Genomic DNA, 27,505 nt, shown 5'->3' on the forward strand with positions numbered 1-27,505 from the left:
AAGAAATGTGTCCCTCCACGCTGTTCTTGCCAGGCCTGCACCTGCTGACCTAAGAAGGGAATGCAGGTGGCTAAGAGAGGCAGTGAATGCAGGGGTCAGAGCACCTGTGGCCAACTCCCGCTCCATCACTGACAGGCTGTGTCCCCCTGGCAAGTTACTCCCAGACCCAAACCAGCTCTCTCAATGGCAAAATGGAAGTGATGGAATTGTAAAGACTAGGTAATAATGGTACCTGCCTCATACAGTTTGAGTGGCTTACAGGAGGAAATCCGCATAAGGGCTTGGTCTAGCATCTCATACAGAGAATGCCTCTAATACACATGAACTATGAGCAGAACCAAGAGCACAGGCTTTAGAGTCCAATAGCCACAAGTCTTTTTGGGGTCAGTTGCTTCCTGTAATCTACCTACTTTCTCTGAGCGTCAGCTTCCTCATCTACAAAACTGGCACGATAGTGGCTCTTACCTGGAGCTGTAAGGATGCCTACATAGACCTCAGGTTTGTGGGGTAGCTAATGTGGCAAACCATTTGTTTGTTCTTTCAACCAATACCTATGCTGGCTGTGCCACTGCTATGTGCTGGGTATGGTTCTTTTTTTTTTTTTTTATTTTTTATTTTTTGAGACATAGTCTCGCTCTGTCACCTGGGCTGGAGTGCAGTGGCACGATCTCGGCTCACTGCAACCTCCACCTCCTGGGTTCAAGCAATTCTCGTGCCTCAGCCTCCTGAGTAGCTGGGATTACAGGCATGCGCCACCACACCCAGCTAATTTTTGTATTTTTAGTAGAGACGGGGTTTCACCATGTTGGCCAGGATGGTCTCAATCTCCTGACCTCATGATCTTCCTGCCTCAGCCTCCCAAAGTGCTGGGATTACAGGCATGAGCCACTGCACCCGGCTGTGCTGGGCATGGTTCTAAATGCTGGGCACATGAGCTGCCCAAGTCTCTGCCCTTGGGGAGCTCAAGTTCTAGTCCAGGAAGGTAAACAATAAACATGCAAACAAACACATAGATCAGATCATGGTATGAGCTGTGCAGAAAATAATATAGGGTGGTGTGATAAGGCTGACACTGAGGAAGTAATGTTTGAGCGGAGACCCAAATGACACCTTTGGAGATGTGGGAGACCCTAAACTGGTATGTAGCATTGTCACTATTAATAATGGCAATAACTTGAGACCCAATCAATGGCAAGTCAGAGAGCTCTAAATCATTGCCTGTTGTTTGTGCAATGTCACGTCTCAAAAGGCATTTCCTCAGTTGAGCTGTGGCTCCTAGTCAGTTTATTTTCTTGGGCCTGACTGCAGATCCTCCCCACCCCCAGGTCCCCCATGTTCTCAATGTTTTATAAAAATTTTATATCCAGGCAGTAAGGGACCATTTTAACTGAACATCTTTTAAAGCTCCTGTTCTTCCCAAGAATCATGTTCACTCCAAAACTCTTTGGTACAGCCAGCAGAAATGACTGCCCCTCCCCTGCTCACTAATTTATTCTGTGAATGAATCCTGGCCCCTGCGCCATGCAGGGCTTGTGCTTTTTTTTTTTTTTTTTTTTTTTTTTTTGAGACAGAGTCTTGCTCTGTCACCCAGGCTGGAGTGGTGCAGTGGCAGGATCTTGGCTCACTGCAAGCTCCACCTCCCGGGTTCATGCCATGCTCCTGCCTCAGCCCCCCGAGTAGCTGGGACTACAGGCGCCCGCCACCATGCCCGGCTAATTTTTTTGTATTTTTAGTAGAGACGGGGTTTCACAGTGTTAGCCAGGATGGCCTCGATCTCTTGACCTCATGATCCACCTGCCTTGGCATCCCAAAGTGCTGGGATTACAGGCGTGAGCCACCATGCCCAGCCTGGCTCATGCCTTCTAAGGAAACAACTGAACCTGCTGACCAGCATGAATCACCTGAGGCAGACAGAAGGAATAAAGCAGACTCATTAAACGGGAATTCACCCACTAGAACCTATTAGAACAAGGGTCTAGTGCTGTTTCCCCAGCTTAGGGTACCATGTCCCCAGGACTCTTGGAGGTACACATTATGACTTTGGTGGAGGCCAAAACCCAGTTGGGTTCATGCCTTTGAGTCTCAGGTAGTGGTGCTCCTGAGGTGGAGAGCGGGCCATGGCAGCAATTCCAACCCCACGTAGTTCTCAGCTGAATCTGGGGCCAGGCTGGGGAGGTGCTGACTTTAGATTGTGTTGTTTTGCACAGGGGGAGCAGTATGTGCACTGAGGGTCAGAGACCATAGATGGGGCTCTCACAGGAGCTGAGGTTGCCATGGAGTCCTGGAAGATGCCACTCACTTCTCCGCTGGCCCAGGGTCTCTGTAAGAAGGTAGCCCTCCTGAGCCAGGGGTCTCCTCCACTGGAGACTGCAATGCTGGGGAGCAGAGGGGTGACCCAGAGTCTCCTCTAGGCTGAAGGGGAGAAAAGAGTGGGAGAGTAGGAAAGAAGGGAGGAGGTCAGGAGGCGGGAGAAGGGGGAAGCAGGATTCAGCCCAAAAGCCACCCAATCAAAGGCCTTCTGCGATGTGATGGTTAATTTTGTGTCAACCTGACTGGGCCATGGGGTGCCCAGATATTTGGTTGAACTATTTCCAGGTGTGTCTGTGTGTTTTTGGATGGGATTAACATTGGAACAGGTGGACTGAGTAAAGCAGATGGCCCTCCCCAGTGTGTCGGGCCTCATCTAATCCAGTAAGGGCCTGAATACAACAAAAAGGTGGAGGAAGGAAGAATCCACTGTTTTTCTGCCTGACTGCTGAGCTGAGTCTTCTCCTGCCCTTGGCCTGGGACTACACCATCAGCTGTCCTGTCTCCAGCTCACCAACTGCAGATCATGGGACTTCTCAGCCTCCATCATCTCCTGAGCCAAATCCTTACGATAAATCTCTTTGTCTGTCTGTCTGCTGTTGGTTCTGTTTTCTCTGGAGAAACCTAACACACCCCACTACCTCCGCTGGAGTGTCTTCTCCCAGTGACTCTCTGTTAAAGGACCTCGCTTATTTCCTTCATGATACTTATCTCTGCCTGCAATGGTAGTTTTGTTTCCCTGTTTGTTTTATGTTCTACCCATAAGAATATAAAGCACAAGACAGCAGGGAACCTGTGTTTCCTATCCAAAGCATAGCCACAGTGCCTGGACCAGTACCTGGCACTCAAGCACTCAATAGCTATTTATGAGGGCAAAGATGGAAGGGAGCAATGGAGGAAAGAAACAGGAATATATGATAGGAAACAATGGAGAAACGATTCTCAAAAATATCTCGAGAGCTGGTGTGAGGCCCTCATCCAAGTCTCAGCCCCCAGCCTCATCCAATGCTGCTAGCACAAGCTATCTTGTATTAACCCACTGGGGTGTAAGACTTGTTTGTTTCATATTGTCTCTGAACCAAAGTGCTGCATTCCACATCCTGGAAAACACTTTTTTTGGTGCCTGTCATAGCCTGTGCACCAAAGCAATGTCACATACACCCTAAGGGCCACTGATGGAAGTTTTTCAGAGCCCAAGTCCCAGTGTTTTTTGTTTTGTTTTTTTGTTTTTTAAGCATTTGGTTGATCCGGTGCAACATGCTGGTTGGAATACTGGCCTCCAGGCAAGTTTACCAAAAGTTCTGGAGATAGAGAACTGTGCTGACATAGAGAGTAGCTGGGAAGGAACTCAGGAAGCGGGTGATGGAGGGGAACAACCTGTCTGTCCTTCAGAAGGAAAAATGATGCTGAGCAGAGAGACCATCACAACTGTACAAAGCAACTAATCCTTCCTCTACAAGTCGCTACCGCTTAGGATAAAGATCAGGGTTTGAGTTATGTCAAGTCAAAGTTTTCCCAACCAGCTTACCAAAATTAACAACAGACACCCTCTGACCAGTTGTTAGCTTCTTCATGGGTCCATTTCGACCACTATAACAGAATACCAGAGATTGAGTGGCTTACAAACAACAGACATTTATTTATTTCTCCCAGTTCTGGAGGCTGGAAGTCTGAGATCTGGGTGCCAGCATGGCTGGGTTCTGGTGAGGGCCTGCTTCTCGGTTCATGGGCAGCTGATTTCTTGCTGCATCCTCAAGCATTGAAGGGGTGAAGGAGCTCTCTGGGGCCACCTTTCATGAGGGCACTAATCCCATCATTTGGGCCCCATCCTCATGATATGATCTAAACCTAATCACCTCCCAAAAGCCCCACCTCCAAATACCATCACATTGGGGATTAGGTTTCAACATATAAAATCTGGGGGAACATAAACATTGAGTCTATTGCACACGAGTTTATTAGTTCCCAGTATAACATCCCAAGGTTGCTGAGGCCTATTATATAAGGATCAAAGTTCTCGTTCTTGTGGTGAATGATCCGAATTTGAATCTCCACTGTTTGAGCTGCTGTTTCTTGGGAGGAAGGCAGATGTTTCATGATCTCCCAGTACAGGTCAGAAAAAGAATGGCGTAAAATCATCTTTGCCATTGAAAGCTGCCAGTCTTCACATTTCCTGGGGGAGGCTTTTAGTCATCAGCTATGAAGCCTGACTCGGTCATCTTCTCCCCCAACACACACCTCGATCTGAGAGGCAGGTTATGCTCCAGGAATAATTCCCTCCATCCTTCCTGGGCTTCTGTGCTCTGCTGATTCTAAACTCTGAGATCAGTGGTCCCAGCAGGTGTACCCAGGGGCCAAGACACGGAACAGGCTCTGTTCAGTTCACAGATGGTGGCCAGTGCTTTTCCATTTTCAGCATTTCCCTCTCGTCTTGGAGAGAGCTTCTGGTTCGGTGCTGGAGAGTAAGAGGCAGGAGGGAGGAGGTGGCTCAGTCATCCTTGTCCTCGTCTTCATCCTCCGCATCTTTGTTGGGTGCGCACCTCTGGAGGCACTGCACCACAGTGGCCAGGAAGAAGCTGGAGATGATGGCCGCAATGGACACGGCCACACCGGAGAAAATGATGATGCAGAGGTCTGTGAGTGACAGGCTGAACCTACACTCGCTGAAGCTGGCCTCCGACAGCTCACGCAGGGATATCCTCCTGCTCTCCATGGGCAGGGAGCACTGGATTTCATCAAGGCCTGAGAAAAGGCAGGCAGAGGAGAGAGAGATTTAGACTGCAGCTCAAGGTTGCCTAAAAGTTGACAAGGCAGGTGCTTACAAAGCCAGCAATGTGCAAGCATCCTCCCAAAAATAAAAGGGGGGAAAAGGCTAATTTAAATGGAATTTAAACTTGAAAAAAAAAAAAAAGCCTTAGAGTGATCACCATGGGAAAAGTTGGAACGTGCTGGTCTTCACTGACCTATTTTCAGGTGTTTGTTTTTTGTTTTTTGTTTTTGAGACGGAGTCTCTGTTGCCTAGGCAACATGGCGTGATCTCGGCTCACTGCAGCCTCTACCTCCCGGGTTCAAGCGATTCTCCTGCCTCAGCCTCCCAAGTAGCTGGGATTACAGGTGTGCACCGCCACACCTGACTAATTTTAGTATTTTTAGTAGAGACAGGGTTTCACCATGTTGGCCAGGCTGATCTTGAACTCCTGACCTCAGGTGATCTGCTCACCTCGGCCTCTGAAAGTGCTGGGATTACAGGCGTGAGCCACTGCACCCAGCCAGGTTTATTACTCTTTTGATTTTGAATTACTCAGAGCGGGGATGGAAGGGCATCATTATCTGTTTCGGGTTTAGGACATCTGTAGACCCTAATCCAGACCCGACTAGTAGCAGGGAGTGGAGGTTGGGGCAGATGCAGTGGGATGGGTCAGTGCCAACTAGCGGACAGACCCTCCACTTGGTAGTGCCACTTTCCAACTTAGATACTATCCTCCTCTTCACTGTCCTCTGAGTGGAAATGAAAAGAGGGTTAGCATGGTCAGGAGTTCGGGACCAGCCTGGCCAACATGGTGAAATCCTGTTTCTACTAAAAATACAAAATACAAAATTAGCCGGGCATGGTGGTGTGTTCCTGTAATTCCAGCTACTCAGGAGGCTGAGGCACAAGAATCACTTGAACCCAGGAGGCAGAGGTTGCAGTGAGCTGAGATCGCCCCACTGCACTCTAGACTGGGCGACAGAGCGAGACTCCATCTCAAAAAAAAAGAATGTATTGAAGATGGATTTCGCCATGTTGCCCAGACTTGAACTTGTACTTCTCCTGGGCCAACAACCGGGTTGGTGATATACAAGGCAACTAAGTCCTCTACTCTCAGAGAGTTTAAATTCTAGTGCGAGAATATAGACATTCATTTATGCCACAGATATTTTTTAGTATTTGCCATGTACAAGGCCCTGGGGATACAGCAGGAAACAAAACAAAGCCTTTGCCTTCATTTAGCTTACATTTTAGACAATAAATGAATAGTTCAAGACATGTAAAATGTTTAGGATGAAACGTCAGGGTAGAAAGATAAAGAAAGTCTGGGACAAAGAATTGTCTTTAACAGGGGTGGTCAGGAGGTATTATTTCAGCTAAGGTCAAAAGGATGAGCTGAAACTAGCCATGAGAAGAACATTCTAGGCAGAGACAAGAAGCTGGGAAAAAGGCCGGGTGTGGTGGCTCATGTCTATAATCCCAACACCTTGGGAGGCCAAGATGAGAGACTTACTTGAGCTCAGGAGTTCGAGACCAGCCTGGGCAACATAGCAAGACCCTGTCTCTACAAAATTTTTAAAAATTAGCCAGGTGTGGTGGTACACACCTGTAGTTCAAGCTACTCAGGAGGCTGAGGCAGGAGGATCATTTGAGCCTGGGAAACTGAGGCTATGATCACGCCACTGCACTCTAGCCCAGAAAACAGAGACCCTGTGTCAAAAAGAAATGTTGGGAAAGAGCTCAGCATTCAGGGAACACAATGTAGCCAGGGGTAGCTGAGTGAACATAGGAGAATTTAGCATCAGCTTAGGTGAGAAACACACCATGTGTTGAGATAAAGTCCCTGATGGTTAAGTTCTCTGAATAAATATTATGAACAGAGCCCCATCATCCCCAACACCAGCCCTCCTTGGACATGAACCAAAGAAATAGCTTATGTGGTACAGAGCTGCTAAAGACTGTTTGTTACCAAGCATAATCATCCTGACTGATACACAATACGAGCTATGTGCAAATTCAAATGACGACCATGATTTTACAAACCTCAGTTATAAGAGAATGAATGGTATTAGAATGCATAAAGAGCTCAGATCTTTTGTTTCTGATCTGGAAGAGAAGAGAAAAATAAATAAAGTAGTAACTAACAGTCATGTTGCACTTACTATGTGCAGATCTTGTTCTAATCACTACACACGTTTTTACTCATAACAATCTTATGAGGTAAGTACTGTTATTATGCCCATTTCATGGATGAGAAAACTGAGAGCATGTGCATAGCTTGCCTTTGGCAATGCAGCTTCACAGTGATGAAGCCAGGATTTGAACCCAGCCATTTGGCTATGGAAGCTTACTCTTATCCTTTGATTAACAAGGTGCCCTTTTCCCAGTGAGAATAGCCAGAGAGATGCAAGGACACCATTTTGACATGAAGCTCAACTGCCTTCAGCCTCTGCTTGCCTCTGGCTTCCTTCAACTCTCAGGAAAACCTTCACCTCCTCTCTTTTTTGGTGCTTCCAGGTTTCAAAAGGCTGACCCTTAACCCATTTCCAGCATTATGTGAAAGTTGAAATGATTTCTTCACACCTCGCTAATTAGCAGGCTTCTGTCCTGGAAAAAGCAGCCCTGCTAATTACACAGCAACCCTGCAACCACCCTGGGGGGGTTTGTGTGTCTTTTTTTCTCCATCTCAGAAACAGGAGATGGAGGAATAGTATCTGAGCATCCTCCTTCCTTCTGTCCTGCCCCATCTTTTATGTAGTCTACAGCCAACCCATCGATGCTTCTGTCCCATGGGAACCATTGCCTAGCAACCAGACTCTGCATTCCCTCCTCTCCCAGAATCAGTGTCTGCTTTATATACCCAAGGAATTAGCTGGACCAGAGCTCTGCAGGCCTCCCCAATTTATACTTGATTACTGTTTTTGACTGTTTCTTTTTCTTAAAGAGGCCAAACTTCTGAGAATTTTAAATGCATTTGAATAAAACAGGAGAGCTTTATCTTTTAAAAAATAAAAATAAAAATAGGAGCACTTTAAAACAAAGTTATACTGGGCTTTTTTTTTTGCAGACACTCATGTCTTCAATGAAAAAATGGAAAAACATCAATCAACCTGCCTCCTAACAGCCTACCCCGGCCAAAAACGTTATGAAAATAAGTAAGATGGACACCAACAGACTGTGTGAAGCACAGACAGTTTCTAAAGCCAGCAGATTATTTGCAGCCTCCAAACTAGTGACAGATCATTATTTAGCTGGAGAAATTTTCTAGAAATCCTCATCTTCAGGAAGCGGTATCAACCGGAAAACCACCACAACCCAACAACATAAGCCCACGGCACCTGCCGTTTAAATCCAACCTTTGCAAGCCACCACTTCCCAAGTCAGTTCTGATTTCCACAATGTTCTTTGTGCCTTGAGACTCATCTTGGCATTTTTACAAAGTGACAATTTTAGAAAATGTCATCTCACATTTCTCCGTGGCTAGAAGAAATGGGCTTGTTTGAAAAACGGTGCACACAAGCCCACCAGGGGCGGGGACTTTAGAACGGCAGTGCTTAGTGGGGCTTTCATGATAAGATCCACTGACTTGATGAGCTTTCATAGCTCACAAAGGGCAGAGAAAGAAGAAGAGTTGGACGAAGAGAGTCTGCCAGGCAGACAGGGCCCAGCACAAGGCTGAGGGTATTGCTACAAAAGCTGGCTACAAAGGCTGTGAAGCCAACAGCACAACTCTAGACTTGGCATAGGCAGACTCCAGGGTCCCCTCTTCTCTCCTGGTAGACCCTTGTTTAAACCAGGGTTTCTCAACTTGGCCATCACTGACATTTGGGACAGGAACATTTTTTTGACATAGGGGCCGTCCTGTGTCCTGTAGGATGTTCAGCAGCATCCCTGGCCTCCACCTACCAGATGCCAGCAACACCTCCCACCCAGTGTGACAATCAAAACTGTCTCCAGTCCGGGAGTGGTGGCTCATGCCTGTAATCCCAGCACTTTGGGAGGCCGAGGCGGGTGGATTACCTGAGGTCAGGAGCTCCAGACCAACCTCGCCAATATGGCGAAACCCCACCTGTACTAAAAGTACAAAAATTAGCTGGGCATGGTGGCGCATGCCTGTAATCCCAGCTACTTGGGAGGCTGAGGCAAGAGAATTGCTTGAACCCCGGAGGTAGAGGCTGCAGTGAGCCGAGACCACGCCATTGCACTCCAGCCTGGGTAATAAGAGCGAAACTCTGTCTAAAAAATAAACAAACTGTCTCCAGACATTGCTACGTGTCCCCTGGGTGGGGAGGACAAAGTCACCTCAGTTGAGGATCACTGCTTTAGAGTGAAATGCTCTACTAAGTATATAGCTATTATGTAGACTTTTAAATTTTTTTGTAAAGACAGGGTCTCGCTCTGTTGCCCAGTGATATGGTTTGGCTGTGTCCTCACCCAAATCTCACCTTGAATTGTAATAATCCCCAGCTGTTAAGGTGGAGATAATTGAATCACGGGGTTGGTAGGTTTCCCCCATACTGTTCTCCTGGTTGTGAATAAGTCTCACTACCATGATGTTTTTAGAAATGGGAGTTCACCTCTACATGCGCTCTTGCCTGCCACCGTGTAAGACGTGAGTTTGCTCCTCCTTCACCTTCCACCATGATTGTGAGGCCTCCCCAGCCATGTGGAACTGTGAGTCCATTAAACCTCTTTCCTTTATAAATTACCCAGTTTCAGGTATGTCTTTATTAGCAGCACGAGAACAGACTAATACACCCAGGCTGGTCTGGAACTGCTGTCCTCAAGCAATCCTCCCACCTCAGCTTCACAAAGCTCTGAGATTAAAGGCGTGAGCCACCAGGCCCAGCCATTAGGTGGCTATTATGGACTAAACATTTAGATCCCCAGAATGTATATGTGGAAGCCCTAGCCCCCAGTGTGATGGTATCTGGAGGTGAGGCCTCTGGGAGGCAGTTAGGGTTAGATGAGATTAGGTAACTAGGGTGTGGCTGTCCTGATGGGATTAGTGTTCTTCCTCCCCACCCCCTCCAACAAGATGGAGTCTCACTCTGGAGGGCAGTGGCGCGATCTCGACTCACCACAACCTCTGCTTCCTGGGTTCAAGCGATTCTCCTGCCTCAGCCTTCCAAGTAGCTGGGATTACAGGTGTGTACCACAATGTCCAGTTAATTTTTTTGTATTTTTAGTAGAGATCTACCTTGGCCTCCCAAAGTGCTGGGACTTCAGATGTGAGACACAGCATCTGGCCAGGGATTAGTGTTCTTATGTTTTTTTTATTTTTTTTTTTTTGTTCTTTTTTTGAGATGGAGTCTCGCTCTGTCGCCCAGGCTGGAGTGCACTGGCATGATCTCGGCTCACTGCAAGCTCTGCCTCCTGGGTTCACGCCATTCTCCTTCCTCAGCCTCCAGAGTAGCTGGGACTACAGGCACCCACCACCACGCCCGGCTAATTTTTTTTGTATTTTTTTAGTAGAGACGGGGTTTCACCGTGTTAGCCAGGATTGTCTCCACCTCCTGACCTTGTGATCCGCCCGCCTTGGCCTCCCAAAGTACTGGGATTACAGGCATGAGTCACCGTGCCCGGCCAATGTGTTCTTAGAAGAAGAGACACCAGAGAGCTCTCCCAATCTGTCTCTGCCTCTCACTTTCTTTCCCTCTCTCTCCCTCTCTCCCTCTCTCCCTCTCTCTCTCTCTCTCTCTCTCTCTCTCTCTCTCTCTGCCATGTGAGGACCCAGAAAGAAGGCGACCATCTGCAAGCCAGGAAGAGAGCCCTCTCCAGAACCCAGCCCTGCTGGCACCCTGATCTCAGACTTCCACCCTCCAGAACTGTGAGGAAATAAATGCCTGCTTGTTAAGCCACCAATCTATGGTGTTTTCTTATGGCAGCCTGAGAAGACTAAGATAGTAACCTTCTAAGACAGGCCTATTTTTAGTCAATAAATAGACATTTAGTTATTAAATGGCTTCCTTTAATTCATGCATTAAGCAAAACAGGTGAGGCTTCATGCTACATGCCATGCAGGATACAAAAGGAAGGAAGGGAAGATGGAAGGAAGGCAGGGAGAGTGGGAGGAAGAGAGAGAGACAGAGAGAGGTGGCCCTGGCCTCTTGGAGCTTAGGTCTTACAGGAGAGGCATAGGGACACAGGCACAAAAGAGGACACTTAAAGGACAAAGTGCAAAGCCTGGCCAGGCACGGTGGCTCACACCTGTAACCCCAGCACTTTGGGAGGCTGAGGCGGGTGGATCGCCTGAATGCAGGAGTTCAAGACCACCCCAGGCAACATGGTGAAACCCTGTCTCTACTAAAAATAACAAAAAAACTAACCAGGTGTGGTGGCGCACGCCTCTACTCCCAGCTACTTGGGAGGCTGAGACAGGAAAATTTCTTGAGCCCCAGAGGCAAACGCTGCAGTGAGCCAAGATTACGCCACTGCAATCCAGCTTGCGCTACCGAATAAGACTCCATCTCGGAAAAAAAAAAAAAAAAGAAAGTGCAACGCCCCACAAGACAGGTCAAGGGCAAGCTCACAGAGGGGGCTTTGGGGGCTGGATCAGCAGGACAGTGGAAGGATGGGCTGGCATGCGGCACATGGAGGTGACCATGGGATCCCTGCAATGTTCCTACCTGACCTTGGAATGTTCTCCTTTTCCTGACCTATCCCGTCAGCTGTCTAAGTTAAGAATAGTGAAGGAAAGCCAATACTTCACAGCACCTGGTGTGTGCCTAGCACACTTCAAGCTTCACAAAACATACTAGCCTTGTTTATTCCTCAGGCCAACCTGATCAGAAGGCCACTCTAAGTATCCCCATCTTATAGCTGACCAAACTGAAGCACAGAGAGGGCAAGTGACTTGCCCGGGGCCATGTAGCAGGGAAATGCCAGAGCTGGGCCTGACCCCAGCTGGTCTGGCTCTGGAGCTTGGCCACTGCATCGTGCCTCCCACTCTCCCAGGCACGAGACCTAGGGCTGCACCAGCCTGGCCCAGCCCCTCCCAACAAGCTCCCTCGAGGCACAGTGTCTTTTTTTTTTAATTTTATTAATTTATTTATTTAATTTTGAGACAGAGTCTTGCTCTGTAGCCCAGGCTGGAGTGCAGTTGTGTGATCTCGGCTCACTGGAACCTCTGCCTCCCAGGCTCAAGCAATTCTCCTGCCTCAGCCTCCCGAGTAACTGGGATTACAGGCACATGCCACCACCCCCAGCTAATTTTTGTATTTTTAGTAGAGATGGGGTTTCACTTTGGCCAGGTTGGTCTCAAACTCCAGACCTCAGGTGATCCACCTGCCTCGGCCTCCCGAAGTGCTGGGATTACAGGCGTGAGCCACCACACCCAGCCCAGGCAGAGTGTCTTCTAAAGAGATGGCCTAGAACTCTCCAGCCACCCTCCTGATCCCACCATGAGCTGGAAAGGCTGGGAAGATGAAGCCACTGGGCATCCAGGGAGCACAGCTTCTGGACACCCTTGTCAGAAGGGCTCCCTGGATGCCCTGAAATACAGAATGAAGAGATGCTGCCCACGTTAGGGTTAGGACGGACCCCAGGCTGGGCCACTTCACCACCTGGTGCCTGTGTGACCCTGGGCCAGGCCCAGCCACCTTGAGTGCCTCCTCGAGATGATACTGTGAACATGAAATAAGGGAATATCTGAAAAGCTCTCACCACAGTACCTGGCCACGTACGTGCTCGAGAATCCCGTGGTTAGCATTGTTCAGATTTTTGAAGTTTCAGACTGAGCCTGCGTTTGACTCCAGATATATGAGAAGGGTGCCCATATTAGGGTGTTCCAGAGAAACAGAACCAACAGAGAGGAGAGGAGTGGGGAGGGGAGGAGCGGGGAGGGGAGGGGAGAGGAGAGGGAGCGAGTACGCATGTGTGTGTGGAGAGAGATTTATTACAACTACTTCTAGTCATTCCTCTGCTCAACATCCCTCCAGTGGCTCCCCATCTCTCTTAAAATGAAATCCACAGCCCGCATCACCCCTGCTAAACCCCTCCACTCCGCCTTGCTTGCCGTTCCTCAAACGCCCCGCGCAGGCCACCGTCAGGGCCTCTGCACCTGCCTGCTCTGCCTGGCTCGCTCCTTCCTTTTCGTCAGGTGACTAGGCAGTCACCTTCTCAAAGAGGCCTCCCTGCCTCCATTCAAAGCAGCCGCTCTCCCCACCCCATCATCCTCCATCTCCCCCTTCCCTCTTTGTTTTTCTCTGAGCAGGTATTTATTTTCTGTCCCCCTGCTCCTCCCCCACTCCCATGTCGGCTATGTGAGGTCCAGCGTTTTGTTTTGTTACCTGCTGTATTCCTAGTACTAGAACCTGTAAGTGATATTTTTGAATCAACATGTGAATAAAGACAGGATCAGAGAACGTGGCTTAGACCTGTGGCCACAAAGGGGTTCTGAAACCAGCTCCCCTATCAGACAGATGGATCCCCAGAGGCCGATGGTGCTGGACCGGCACAGGCCCCTGCCTTCTAGGACAAAAGTTCTTTCCCCCAAATTCACCAGCAGGTAACTTGCAACTCTCTGGAGTAGAGAGAAGCTGTGTATGTTTTCATGCTTTCCTCTCTTGGGAGGTGGAAACTCTCATTGATCTTTGGAAACAGACAGAGTGGAGATGCATCAGCCAACCTCTCTTGCAGCCTCACCATATGCCAGATATTCTTCTAAGCACTCTGCATTGCCTGCACTCCTTTAATCTACAAAACAAACTCTGCAGCTGGTACTGGGATGATCCTGGTTCGCAGATAAGCAAACTGAACAATTATGTTACCTGCTTGAGGTTATCCAGCTAAGAATGGAAGAGCCGGGATCTAGAATCAGGTGGTCTCACCCTAGTGCCTATGCAGTTAGACAATACCCTTCCCTGTTGCCTTAAGAATGCTTGCACAGGCCAGGCACGGTGGCTCACGCCTGTAATCCCAGCACTTTGGGAGGCTGAGGCAGGGGGATCGCCTGAGGTCAGGAGTTCAAGACCATCCTGACCAACATGGAGAAACCCCGTCTCTACCAAAAATACAAAATTAGCTAGGCGTGATGGCGCATGCCTGTAATCCCACCTACTCAGGAGGCTGAAGCAGGAGAATCGCTTGAACCCGGGAGGCGGAGGTTGTGATGAGCCAAGATCGCGCCATTGTACTCCAGCCTAGGCAACAAGAGCAAAACCCCACCTTAAAAAAAAAAAAAAAAACGGCCAGGCACAGTGGCTCACGCCTGTAATCCCAGCACTTTGGGAGGCCGAGGCGGACAGATCATGAGGTCAGGAGATTGAGACCATCCTGGCTAACACGGTGAAACCCTGTCTCTACTAAAATACAAAAAATTAGCATGGTGGCGGGCGACTGTCCCATCTATTCGGGAGGCTGAGGAAGGAGAATGGCATGAACTCGGGAGGCGATGTTTGCAGTGAGCCAAGATTGTGCCGCTGTACTTCAGCCTGGGCGAGAGCGAGACTCCATCTCAAAAAAAAAAAAGAAGAAGAAGAATGCTTGCACAAGTTATTGCCGGGACACTAAGACCCAGAGGGTCCTACGATTATGCCAAAGCTGCACAATGTCTTGTCAATCTGGTTTGGGGCCCATGCTACCTCCATTGGTGGCCTGAGCCTGGAGTACTCAGGGCAAAGAGCACTAAAATGTCATTCAAGGGGGTTGCATGCTGTGTTTGTTTTTTGGGCTGCTGTTACAAATTACCACAAACCGAGGGGCTTAAAACAAATTTATCCTCTCATAGTTTGGGAGGCCAGAATTCTGAAATTAAGGTGTCAGCCAGGCTGGGCTCCCTCCAAAGGTTCTGGGGAGAATCCCTCCTGGACTCCTCCAGCTTCTGGTGGTTCTTTCTTTTTTTGAGACGGAGTCTCGCTCTGTCACCCTCACCCAGGCTGGAGTGCAGTGGTGTAATCTCGGCTCACTGCAACCTCTGCCTCCCGGGTTCAAGCGATTCTCCTGTCTCAGCCTCCCGAATAGCTGGGATTACAGGCGCCCACCACCACGCCCGGCTAATTTTTGTAATTTTAGTAGAGATGGGGTTTCGCCATATTGGCCAGGCTGGTCTCGAACTCTTCTGGTAGTTCTTCACATCCTTTGGCTTATGGCCGCCTCCCTCCAGCCTCTCCCTCTGTCTCCATACGGCCTCTGCTCTGTGTCTCCGTCTTGCAAGTCTCCCTCTGCCCTTCCCTTACAAGGACATCTGCCATTGGATTTAGGACAGTCCTACCCTCAGTCCAGGATGATCTCATCTCCAGATCCTTCATTTAATTACATTTGCAAAGACCCTTTTTCCAAATAAGGTCACATTCATAGGTGCCAAGGCTTAGGACCTGGACACGCCTTTTCGGGGGATACAATTCAACCCACTATAGGAATCACATATTTCATACCCACCTGTTGCCCTCTGGCTTCTCCCCCTTCATCTCTCCTGAGGCAACTCCCCAGCTTCCTTTTGGAGCAATCATCTCTCACCCATTAAATATGTCTTGGTGTACCTTTTTTTTTTTTTTTTTTTTGAGACAAGGTCTCACTCTATCACCCAGGCTGGAGTGCAGTGGCACGGTCTTGGCTCACTGAAGCCTCCACCTCCTGGGTTCAACCGATCTTCCCACCTCAGCCTCTCAAGTAACTGGGGTTACAGGCACACACCACCACGCCCAGCTAATTTTTGTATTTTTAGTAGAGACGAGATTTCGCCATGTTGCCCAGGCTGGTCTCGAACTCCCAGACTCAAGCGATCCACCTGCCTCAACTTCCTAAAGTGCTGGGATTACAGGCGTGTGCCACTGCACCTACCCTAACTTTCTTAAAATGTGTGGCCCTCTCCTGACATAGAGGTCGGTACCCAACCCACACTGAGCCACAGTCTGTCTCTCCCAGGACACTGAATCTTGGGTGGATTGACTAAATAGATGGCTGGAACCCGTTCAGTCCAGCCAGCAGCCCCACCCTGCAGAAACTGTCCATTGGTTCTGCGTTCTCCACCTGCAGACCTGCCCCATTCTCTTCTGAGCCTGCTTCTCCAGGCTTCTCTTCAATTCTGTGAACTATCTGACATCCCTGCAACAAATTCCTTCCCTGCCTACATTAGTCAGAGTTGGCTTCTGTTGTTTACGCTCAAGATACCCAACCGATGGATTCTAGGACAACGGAATTCAAGAACGAATTGGGCTCCTGTCCTAACTGTCAGCCTTTGTCCCACAGCCACAAATCATTTAACTGGGTCCTGTTGTTCTATAAAACCATGTGCTTGGTGGCATGAGGGCTTTGGGAGGCAGCGGGAGTGATGCAGCTCACCTCCCCACAATAGGCAGGCTCAACTGGTGGGAAGTCAACTTCCCACCTTTCGTCTTGCGATGGGTCTACCTCCAACCCACTGAAACCAAAGTGGGCTCCGTCTCATTCTGGCCTAGGCAGAACAGGGCCCACAGCGCCCTCCCCTTATAACCACGACTTCCTTCTCTTCCAGGGCACATTCAGAAGAGACAGGCATCTCCCTTGTGCAGGGCGGCTCCGTGGCCTGCCCGTCACCACCTGTCTGGGCTCCCTCCCCTTGAGTGATGACTTCTCCCCAGCAGCTGACACCTGAGCTGGAGAGGGTGAAGAGCTGCCATTCTCCAGAAATAGACAGTGACACAGCGGATGTTAGATTGAGATTAATCTCTTGCACCGGACCGGCCCCTTGCCAACAAACAGGCCTGCAGCCAGAGGATCTCTCAGGCCCTTTCCCCTGATCTGGCCTCCTGGGAACTGCGTAACTCAGATTAACAACAGGCTCTGGTAAGCGCTTTTTGTCATTAAAAATATTTTTTTGTTTTCTTATCTCCACATATTAGGCAAAGCTCACATATATACTGAGACAATAAAAATAATCAAAAACAAGGGAGAATTAAAAAAAAAGTTAACACTTGGCTTATACCTTTTCTAGATTGTGTGTGTTTGTGTGTGTGTGTGTGTGTGTGTGTGTGTGTACATAAATCTACCAAGCAGAAATGCACTCCACCACTCTGTCGGATAACCATACTGGGAACATCTTTCCATTCAACAAATATATCATTTTCAATGGCTGCAAGGCATTTTATTGTGTAGATGAGCCATGATTTACTTACCCAACCCCAGGATCTTTCCAGTTTTCTCTCTTAGAACTAATGCTGCTATGAACAGCCTTGCACACTTTTTTTTTTTTTTTTGTCTGAGACAGAGTCCTGCTCTGTCGCCCAGGCTGGAGTATAGTGGTGGTGGGATCTCGGCTCACTGCAACCTCCGCCTCCTGGGTTCAAGCAATTCTCCCGCCTCAGCCTCCTGAGCAGCTGGAATTACAGGCACTTGCCACCATGCCTGGCTAATTTTTGTATTTTTAGTAGAGATGGGGTTTCACCATGTTGGCCAGGCTGGTCTTGAACTCCTGACCTCATGATCCACCCACCTCGGCCTCCGAAAGTGCTGGGATTTCAGGCCTGAGCCACCGTGACTGGCTGAACACATTCTTAATTATTTCCCTAAGATACATTCCCACAAGTTGAAGGTTGTGGGTGAGTCCTTGAACTTGCGCCAACACTGGATTTTGTCACTCTTTCATCTTTATCAATCTGATAAGCCATGAAAGGGTATATTGTTGATTTAGTTTGCATTTATCTGATTATTAGGAGAGCTGAACATTGTATTACGTGCTCACTGGAAATTTGGATGTGTCCTTCTGTGAACTGCCTGCCCAGGAGCTATGACATGAGCTTTGCAAGTCTTCCCAAGGTGAGAGGCCGTCGTGCGAAGGGGGGATTGGAGAGAAGTATGGTCGATCCAGCCCACCCAACCTCATCCATTTCCACAACCTTCAACTTGTGGGAATATGTCTTAGGGAAATCATGAAGAATGTGGGCAAGGCTGTTCACAGCAGCATTGCTTCTAGGAGAGAAAACTGGAAACCTCCCGGGCTGAGTGGGGCTGAGTAAGTAAATCGTGGCTCATCTACACAGTAAAATACCCTGCAGCCATTACTGCAGCTACAACTTCCAGAGAAGGCAGATTCTTCCTCCCATGGCCTAGAGGAAGGACAAACATGGAAGGTTCTCCAGGGACCACTGGGCATTGGTCCCTCTGCTCCTGGCAAGAGCTTACTACTCCCCATCACTCTCTTCTGCCTTCCCCTCCCTGGCTAAGAGAGCCCAGCCTATGCTGGTAGAACAGCTTCCCCTGCCCTCCTTGCCAGCCTCCAGGAACTCCAAACCCAAAGGCCCAAGAAATAACAGTAGCTTTTTGGCCTTTCACGCCCACAGCCAGCCTTGGTTTCACAGCATCATAGAAGATCTGAAGTCACCTTTGATATCTCTCATTTCCCCTCCCTCCCCACCCCTCTCCTTTATTTTACAGATGAGAGGCCCAGAGAACTTGGGCAATTTGTCTAAGGCCACTTGGAGTCTGGACTGGAACCCAGGTCTCCTGACTCCCTGTGTAGTGCTCTTCCCAGGCACCAGGTCCTTAATTCACCCTGAGCATCTGGGGAAGCTGCACGTGCTACAGTCGCTGCTGCAGCCGCTTCAAGCCGCAGAGAAATGTTCTTCGTAAGGAGGCAGCCGAGAAGGGACTGCAGGGCTTGCTTCTCTCCTGGGGACAGGGGTGCCAGGAACACCAGCTTTAATTTCTGATAGTGCTGACCTGTGTTCTCCACCACCACTTTCATTAAATATCGACAGTTGCATACAGGGAAAATTCCCAATTAAACTCCCGTCTCGTCTCCACCGCAGACACTTCGTCTGATTGAGTAATAAGCTGATTTTGCTAAGAGGAAGCTACATCTGCAGCTTCGGGTCAAGGGCTCACCCTGGCTTGTCCTGGCTCCACAGAGTGTGTCCTGTAGAAGGGGCAGTGCAGTAAAAGGGACCCTGCACCAGGGGTGTGACCTGTGTCTGAATCCCACATGCTAGCCTGAGTCCCACCCCTCATCTTAAAACACTGACATAAGTCGCACACATAAGCGAGGAAAACCGACTGACTGTTCATGTGATTTTTGTAATCTGTCCTTCCCCTGGTAAGAAAGGAGCAGAGAATGATCATAGTGTTTTTTTTGTTTTTTGTTTTTTGTTTTTAGACAGAGTCTCACTCTGTCGCCCAGGCTGGAGTACAGTGGCGTGACCGGCTGGCTCACTGTAACCTCCGCCTCTCGGGTTCAAGCGATTCTCCTGCCTCAGCCTCCCGAGTAGCTGGAATTACAGGCAGTTGCCACCATGCCTGGCTAATTTTTGTATTTTTAGTAGAGATGGGGTTTCACCATGTTAGCCAGGCTGGTCTTGAACTCCTGACCTCAAGTGATCCGCCTGCCTCAGCCTCCCAAAGTGCTGGGATTACAGGCGTGAGCCACTGCGCCCAGCCTTATAGAAAATTATACTCTTGGGAAAAAAGCATGAGTTTCCACTATCCCCACTGATGTCACCATCACCCCTGTCATCTCAACCATCACTGCCACTGCTGCTCCCACCACCTCCCCATGTCCACCTCCACCCCCACCCGCTCCATCATCCAAAATAAACACTTCCTATGAGTTGAGCCCCAGGCTGAGTACTAGGGATACTAACCTGTGTCTGGTGACTATGGGTGATTTGGTTAGAGAGAACCTTCTGGTTAGGCAGTGTGAGGAAATCTAGGAATGGTCCATGAGTCTGGTACCTCCCATAGCCTGTCATGGTGCTCAGAGCTCCACACGGCCTCTGGATGGTCAGGCACCCACTGTGGCTCCCTCCCAGGCCTGCCATTCTAAAGCACCCACTGTCCCAAGTTCATCTGTAATGGTGGGCTCGCCGGCACGCTAGAAAAAGAGATGTGCTGTGTGTCTCAGGATACGCAGGGGTGTGTGTGTCCCCTCCCATGACACTGTCAAGCAGGCATCCTATTGGGAAGTAATATTTCTAGAAACTCCTGCTATTTATCAGGAACTACGATGAGTACTTCCCGGTTACCATTTAACGTAACCCTCTTGCCCAACAACCCTTCAGGGCAATGGTTCTCCGCTGGGGGTAATCTTGCCCATCGGGGGATTTGTCGATGTCTGAAGACATTTTTGGTTGTCACACTGGGTGGAGCGCCAGTAGCATCTGGAAGGTGGAAGACAAGGATGCCATGGAACGTCCCACACTGCACAAGACAGCACCCACAACACAGAAGTAGCCAGCCTCACTCACGCAGCAGCCGTGCTGAGCATCAGATGCCCTGCCTTGGGGTATTTTTTAAATCCAGTTCAAAATTTTTTATTTTTTATTTTTTAGACAGGGTCTTACTCTGTCACCCAGGCTGGAGTACAGTGGCGTGATCTCAGCCACTGCAGCCTCGACCTCTTGGGCTCAGGCGATCCTCCCACCTCAGTCTCCCGAGTGACTGGGATGACAGTCATGTGTGACCCCACTCCTGGCTAATTTTTTGTATTTATTTGTAGAGATAGGGTTTAGCCATGTTGCCCAGGCTGGCCAAAAATATTTTTAATTGTGGTAAAATTTATAACACAACAATGTGAAGGTAGCTTCATGCTAGAGAAACAAACTGTCCACTTGAAAATGGCTAAGATGATATATTTAAATCTCAGCCATTTTCTTTTCTCTCTTTTTTTTTTGTTTGAGACGGAGTCTCCCTCTGTCACTCAGGCTGGAGTGCAGTGGCGACATCTCGGCTCACTGCAACCTCTGCCTCCCAGGTTCAAGTGATTCTCCTGCCTCAGCCTCCAGAGTAGCTGGGATTACAGGCATGTGCCACCACGCCCAGCTAATTTTTGTATTTTTAGCACAGACAGGGTTTCATCATGCTGGCCAGGCTGGTCTCGAACTCCTGACCCCAGGTGATTCACCTGCCTCGGCCTCCTAAAGTGCTGGGATTACAGGTGTGAGCCCCAGCGCCCGGCCAAATCTTAGCCATTTTCAGGTGGAAAGTTTCTCTAGCGTTGTTACATTCACACCGTTATGCAACCATCACCACCATCCACCTCCAGAACTCCTTCCATCTTCCCAAACTGAAACTCTGTCCGCATTAAATACTAACTCCCCATTCCCCCTCCTCCCAGGCACAGGCAAATATTATTCTACTTTCTCTTCTGTGAGTTTGACTACTCTACGTACTGCGTACAAGTGAAATCATACAATATTTGTCCTTTGTGATTAATTTCACAAAGTAGAATAATGTCCTCAAGGTTCATCCGCGTTGTAATGCATGTCAGAATTCCCTTGCTTTTTAAGGCTGCATAATAATCCATTTCATGGATAGACAACGTGTTGTTGTTACATTTATTTGGAGGAAAAATATAATGCAAAAAATAGAGAAAATTTTCATTCTTAAAAAAAGGATTTTTGGCCGGGTGCGGTGGCTTACGCTTGTAATCCCAGCACTTTGGGAGGCCGAGGTGGGTGGATCACCTAAGGTCAGGAGCTCGAGACCAGCCTGGCCAACATGGCACAACCCCCATGTCTACTAAAAATACAAAAATTAGCCGGGCCTGGTGGCGGGTGCCTGCAATCCCAGCTGCTCAGGAGGCTAAGGTACAAGAATCACTTGAATCTGGGAGATGGAGGTTACAGTGAGCTGAGATCGCACCAGTGCACTCCAGCCTGGGTGACAGAGTGAGACTCCACCTCAAAAAAGAAAAAAAAAAGGACTTTTTGAAAACATACCATTACCCAGCCCTGACACTCTATGAATTCTTCTCTTACTCATCCAGGACCTGTTTGACTGGCACCTCTGTGGACCCAGCAGATCTCAAAGTGCAGACAAGCCAACATAACACAGCATTCACGATTCTATTATAAAAGATGTGACGCATCTCTGCTCTGCCGCTCCCCTCTCCCCCCTGACCCAGGCCTAACCTCCGACCACGTGAGTCCCGTCGCTCTTGGGAGTTCCCTGGGGGCCACGCTATCCCTGGAATGGGGACTCCCCTTCTGTCTCTGTGCTGTGTGCGACAGTCATTCCAGGGATATCTTCCCGTGAGTGCAGGCATCTCACCCTCGGCTCACGAAGTGCTCTCTATGCTTCAAATAGCTTCAAAATAATTTACCAATACAAGCAATTCTGATTTTCCTGGCAAGTCAGAAATCAAGTTGCTTTTTTTTTGTATTTATAATTTTTCCAGCAGCAGGGGCCAGGGAAGACCCAGGTTCCCAGCACCAGATATCTGCACCTGGTGGCCTTCAGCGGGGCTCGGTGCTGCAGCAACTGCTGTCACCAGGGCCAGGGTTGTGGTACGGGGAAGTGACCTCGGGGTGGGGCCTTTGGGGTGGGCAAGGAGAGGTTTCATGAGAAATGAGCCTACACAGGTGGAGAAGACCTCGCCATTATCTGACCTTCTACTGTCACAGGTGGGGACACAGAAGTGAGGTTACTTCCCTGGAGGAGATCCAGGCCGACCCCCTAAATCGTCCACATGCTAATCCTCAGAATCTGTGAATATGCTGCCTTGTAAGGCAGAAGGGGCTTTGCCGATGTGATTAGATAAAGGTTCTTGGGATGGGGGGATTATCCTGGATTTGCAGGCAGTCCTGATATAATCACAAGGGTCCTTATAAAAGGGAGGCAGGCAGGTCAGAGCAGGAGAAAGAGATATGCCGATGCAGAGAGGTCATGGGGACGTGCCTGAGAGCCGAGGAGTGCTGGAAGCCTCTAACCTGGAAAGGCAAAAGGACACAGATGTCGTGATTTTAGCCTCTAAGACACACTTTGGGCTGGGCATGGTGGCTCACACCTGTAATCCCAGCACTTTGGGAGGCTGAGGTGAGTAGACCACAAGGTCAGGAGTTTGAGACCAACCTGCCCAATATGGTGAAACCCCATCTCTACTAAAAATACCAAAATTAGCTGGGTGTGCTGGCGTGCACCTGTAATCTCAGCTACTCGGGAAGCTGAGGCAGGAGAATCACTTGAACCCAGGAGGCGGAGGTTGCGGTGAGCCAAGATCGCACCACTGCACTCCAGCCTGGGCAAGAGAGGGAGACTCTGTCTCAAAAACAAAAGAAGCATTTTGGATGTCTGACCTCCAGAACTGGAAGATAACAGATTTGTGTCATTTTAAGCCCCTACAACATGATAGTTTGTTCCAGCAGTAATAAGAAACTCACACATACCCCTAGGTTGCACAATGAGTCAGTGACAGAGCCGAGCCCGGGAGCCAGGTGTCCGCACCCTCAGTTCCACCCACGTTCAGCAGTTCCTCATTGAGACACATTTGTAGCTCAGCGTGAGCCTCAGGAACTGAGTCCTTTGAGTGTTAACACTGATTGACTGCAGTGACAATAACAGTGGCATTGACATGCTGTGTGTGCCAGGCACTGTGCTAGACTTTTTTTTTTTTTTTTTTTTCCATTTCTTCCTTGCTATATAATGTGGTAGGCTTTTTACAGGGACTCTCTCTCTGGCCCTCATGATAGACTTGTGAATATTTTTGTCCACGTTTTATACATAAGAAAACTGAAGCACATAGCAGTGAAGCAGTTTGCCCAGGCTCACACAGCTGGTAAATAAAGGCACTGAATTTAAACCATGGTGGATCGAAATCAAAAGCCTGTGTTCTTAGCCACTGTGATGTATCTATCCCCTTCTAAGGAGTGTCATGCAATATGAGGGGAGCAGTGCTGAACCAGGAACTGGGGGGCTTGGCTCTTGCCTCAGCTTCTCACTAGTTCGCTGTGCGGCTTTGTGCAAGTCACTTGGTCTCTCTGAGCTGTGCTTTCCTACCTGAAAATGAAGAAAGGCAGGTTACATGACCCTACAGTCTAAGCCATTTGTCTTCTGGAATGTTGGCTCCAGGAGGGCAGAGCCATGGTCAGCCTCGCTGTCCCAGGCAGCTGGACTTGAATTTGCTTTCGGCAGGTGTTTGGTCTGCTCTGGTTTCTGCTAACATGTTCAGGTCACCTTTGGTTTAGCCCCTACGAGGCCAGGTTCTGAAGCGGGGAAGCTAAGTTTGGCTCAGCCTAAAGCAGGAGCCATGGACACAAGGGGGTGGGGATAGATATGATATGAGATCTGAGACCACAGAAGGGTCAGGGACAAAGATCCTGGAGCCAGTCTCTCTGGAGCACAGAGCAGAAGCACGACAAATATTCACGAAGGAAAGAATGAGGATGAGCTGGTGACATACACGGTGGGACAGCCCCAGTGTGTCTGGGAGCCCAGGCTGCACAGGCCCACAGGAAGAGCTGTAGAAGGTCAGTGTTCTGGCTCAAGGGGAGCTGAACATAAACTAGATGTACGTGATACATATTTAGAAGCCGATTCTGGTTGCTGGTGGGTGATCCAGTTTCTGACAAGGATCCGTTGTGAGCAGAATGAGACCTGAGACGTGCAAGAGGCTGGGAGCTTTGCATGTCCTCTGCTGCAGGCTTAAGGGCTCCGTCTATTTAGGTTCAGAAAGGAACATGGTGGGGAGGGGGAGGGAGGGAAGAGGAGTGACTGCTCTGGGTATCAAAGCAGGTGCAGTCACTGGTTTTTAAGCACCCTGGACCCTCCTTCAAGACCTACTCCTTCGGCCAGCAGAACCAGGATAGGAACGCCAGAAAGAATCACAGGACTCAAGCACCCTGGGCAGAAATCCCACCCAACACCTGATGCTCCTTGCAGCACCACTAAAAAGTGGTCATTTGGACTCTGCTTGAATGCCCCTGGTGATGGCAACCTCATTACCTCCCAAAGGCAGCTCATTTTCAGAGCCCTAATGCGGTTAGACAGTTCTCATTATGGTACATCGAATTCCGTTTCCTTGTAATTCTCAATCATGGGCCCATCTTCTGAGGTCAGAACAAGTCCCCTGTGTTCAGTGACAGCCCCTCAGGTGCCTGCAGACAGGCACTATGTTCTTCCAAGTCTCTACTTTTGAGAGTTGAACATCAATTTTCCTATATCAGCACAGTCTTACTCTCCGAATACAAAGAGTGTCTGACATTTTCTAATGAACAGGAAACCCAGGTAACGGCTTACAAATTGTGATTAGAAGGGGTCTGGGGGCCTCAACCTTCCTACTCTCTGAACACCCCCATCCAAGCATCACCATGTCTGAGATTCTATACAAATTCATGCCTCAATGATCAGCAGCGCTGATCAAATATATATATATATTACGGAGAGAGAGAGATAGAGTGTCTCGTTCTGTCACCCAGGCTGGGGTGCAGCAGCAAGATCCTAGCTCACTGTAACTTCAAACAATCCTGGCCTCAAGTGATCCTCTTGCCTCAGCGTCCCAAGTAGCTGGGACTACAGGTGTGTGCCACCAAACCTAGCTATTTATTTTTTATTTTTTTTGTAGAGACAGGGTTTCACTATGTTTCCCAGGCTGGTCTCAAACTCCTGGGCTCAAGCAATCTTCCCGCCTCAGCCTCCCAAGTGCTGGGATTACAGGCTGAGCCACCTTGCTCAGCCCCCTTCTGTCTTTACTGCATTTATCTCTGGTTAAGCCTCAAGTTGCTAACACTCCAACAAGAACCAGTTTACCATACTGGCTTCTCTCAGCAAGGGGACAGTTCTGGAGGCCTCTTCCTCTCCATTTTTCCTCCCTTTGCCTTGGCTCAGCATCCACCCACCGAGTCATTCATCCCTTCAACACATACGTATGGAGCACCTATTACCTGCGAGCACAGTCCTAGCACTGTGGCTAAAACACTGAACAGAACAGACGAGGCCCTGCTCTTGTGGCTACAACTGAGTGAAACAGACAATGAGTAAATGAGTAAAATGTATAACATGACCCATAGGGACTGGTACAAGAGGACGAAGAGGAGCAGGGGGACAGGGAAGGAGAGCCAGAGGTGGTGGGGTGCAGGGTTCAATGGGGCTGCGGCCCAGGGAGAAGGTGGCATTTGAGAAAGGGTCTGACGGGAGGGAGGGGCCAAGTCATGCTGAGACCCAGAGGGAGGTCATCCTGGCAGAGGAAGTAGCAGGTGCAAAGGCCCTGAGGTAAGAAGGTACCTGATGAACTCAAGGAATGACAAGGAATCTGGGGTGCCCAGGCCAGCGTGAATGAAGGGAGAAGAGCAAGAAATTCGGTCAGAAAGGAACTAGGAGGAGGACAGATCACAGGAGGCCTTGTGAGCCTCTGGAAGGACTTTTACTTCTGCTCTTCATGATACGGGAGCCCCTGGAGAGCTCTGAGCCGAGGTGGAACATGACTTGATACCTGACAAGCAGGGAGGGGCCGCTGCTCCAGACAAAGCTCTCATAGCAGAAGAAGGTAGGAGTCAAATTTGTTTTTAACAAGTGTTTAATGCACCCTGGTTTCCACTAATATGGTCAGGTCACCTTGGATTTACCTCCCTCCGAGTCAAGGTTCTGACTCAGGAAGACACTACTTTTGGGTTCTCAGCCTGAAGCAAGCGTGGGAGCTTGTGGCTGAGAGACTCTAGTTTCTGATGTGAGATTTGAGGGGCCACAAAATGTTCAGCAACAAAGATCCTGGAGTCACACCTCACCTCTGCCACTTCTTGGCTGGTGACCAACTTACATTAACCTGTTGGCACCTTGGCTTCCTCTCTGGGGGAATCACTCCATATAAACTGGAGCGATTCTGAAAACTTCATATGCAAAAAAAAAGGAAAAATAGCTCATGATTAATTTTTCCGTTGATTACACGCTGAAATGACATTTTGGGCCAAGCACGGTGGCTCATGCCTATAATCCTAGCACTTTGGGAGGCCGAGGAGGGCAGATCACCTGAGACCAGCCTGACCAACATGGAGAAACCCCGTCTCTACCAAAACTACAAAATTAGCTGGGTGTAGTTGTGTACGCCTGCAATCCCAGCTACTCAGGAGATGAGGCAGGAGAATCGCTTGAACCCTGGAGGCCGAGGTTGCCGTGAGCCGAGATTGCACCATTGCACTTCAGCCTGGGCAACAAGAGTGAAAAACTCCATCACAAAAAAAAAAAAAAAAAAAAGAAACGACATTTTGGATATGCTGGATTAAAAAAATATCCAAGTTCATCTCATCTGCTCATTTTTCTGTTTTAAATATGGCTGCTGGAACATCTGAAATTATCTCTGCAGCTTGCATTCTATTTCTATCAGGACGCGCAGCCCAAGCGTTTTCAGCTCAGCGCCTGGAATCGAGCAGATAATTGACAAAATGAAGTCAGGGGAGAGGAGCCTGCTCTGGGGCAGGAAGCAGAGACGACCCCCAACCAAAAAACAAAACAAAACAAAACAAAAAAAAAAAGAGCCCAGTTTGTGTTTTAGCGCTTATTTCCCCACACGCAAACCAAGGAAAGCAATGTATTTGGATATTATAAAATCTGAAGGCTGAGAGGCCAGGCACAGTGGCTCACACTTGTAATCTCAGCACTTTGGGAGGCTGAGGCAGGGGGAATCACAAGGTCAGGAGTTCAAGACCAGCCTGAGCAACATGGTGAAACCACATCTCTACTAAAAATACAAAAATTACCCAGGCGTGGTGGTGCATGCCTGTAGTCCCAGCTACTCAGGAGGCTGAGGCAGGAGAATCGCTTGAACCT

General features: G+C 49.0%; 1 protein-coding gene and 1 long non-coding RNA gene across 4 annotated transcripts in view; one reads left to right on the forward strand and one right to left on the reverse strand.

The window, feature by feature from the left end:
- Positions 1 to 3,922: 3,922 nt before the first annotated feature.
- LRRC38 (leucine rich repeat containing 38) overlaps positions 3,923 to 27,505 on the reverse strand; it is a 39,031-nt gene continuing 15,448 nt past the window's right edge. Inside the window, exon 2 of one of the 2 annotated variants that reach the window (NM_001010847.2) lies at positions 3,923 to 5,049. In NM_001010847.2, coding sequence (NP_001010847.1) covers positions 4,796 to 5,049 — 254 coding nt within the window. In that variant the 3' untranslated portion in view covers positions 3,923 to 4,795. Of the gene's footprint in view, positions 5,050 to 21,280; positions 22,678 to 27,505 lie in introns of those variants that run through there. The other variant, XM_047444690.1, reaches the window with a different exon arrangement.
- Positions 16,521 to 21,822, forward strand: LOC102724856 (uncharacterized). Of its 2 annotated transcripts, none has more exons than XR_426659.4 (3): positions 16,521 to 16,822; positions 17,689 to 17,791; positions 21,735 to 21,822. It is a non-coding gene; the product is annotated as an uncharacterized LOC102724856 (long non-coding RNA). The 2 variants fall into 2 exon arrangements; XR_426658.4 differs by lacking the exon at positions 21,735 to 21,822 and adding an exon at positions 18,410 to 18,775 and having other exon boundaries at positions 16,554 to 16,822.

The sequence above is a fragment of the Homo sapiens genome, chromosome 1 (genome assembly GCF_000001405.40).
Source record: "Homo sapiens chromosome 1, GRCh38.p14 Primary Assembly".
Lineage (NCBI taxonomy): Eukaryota > Metazoa > Chordata > Mammalia > Primates > Hominidae > Homo > Homo sapiens.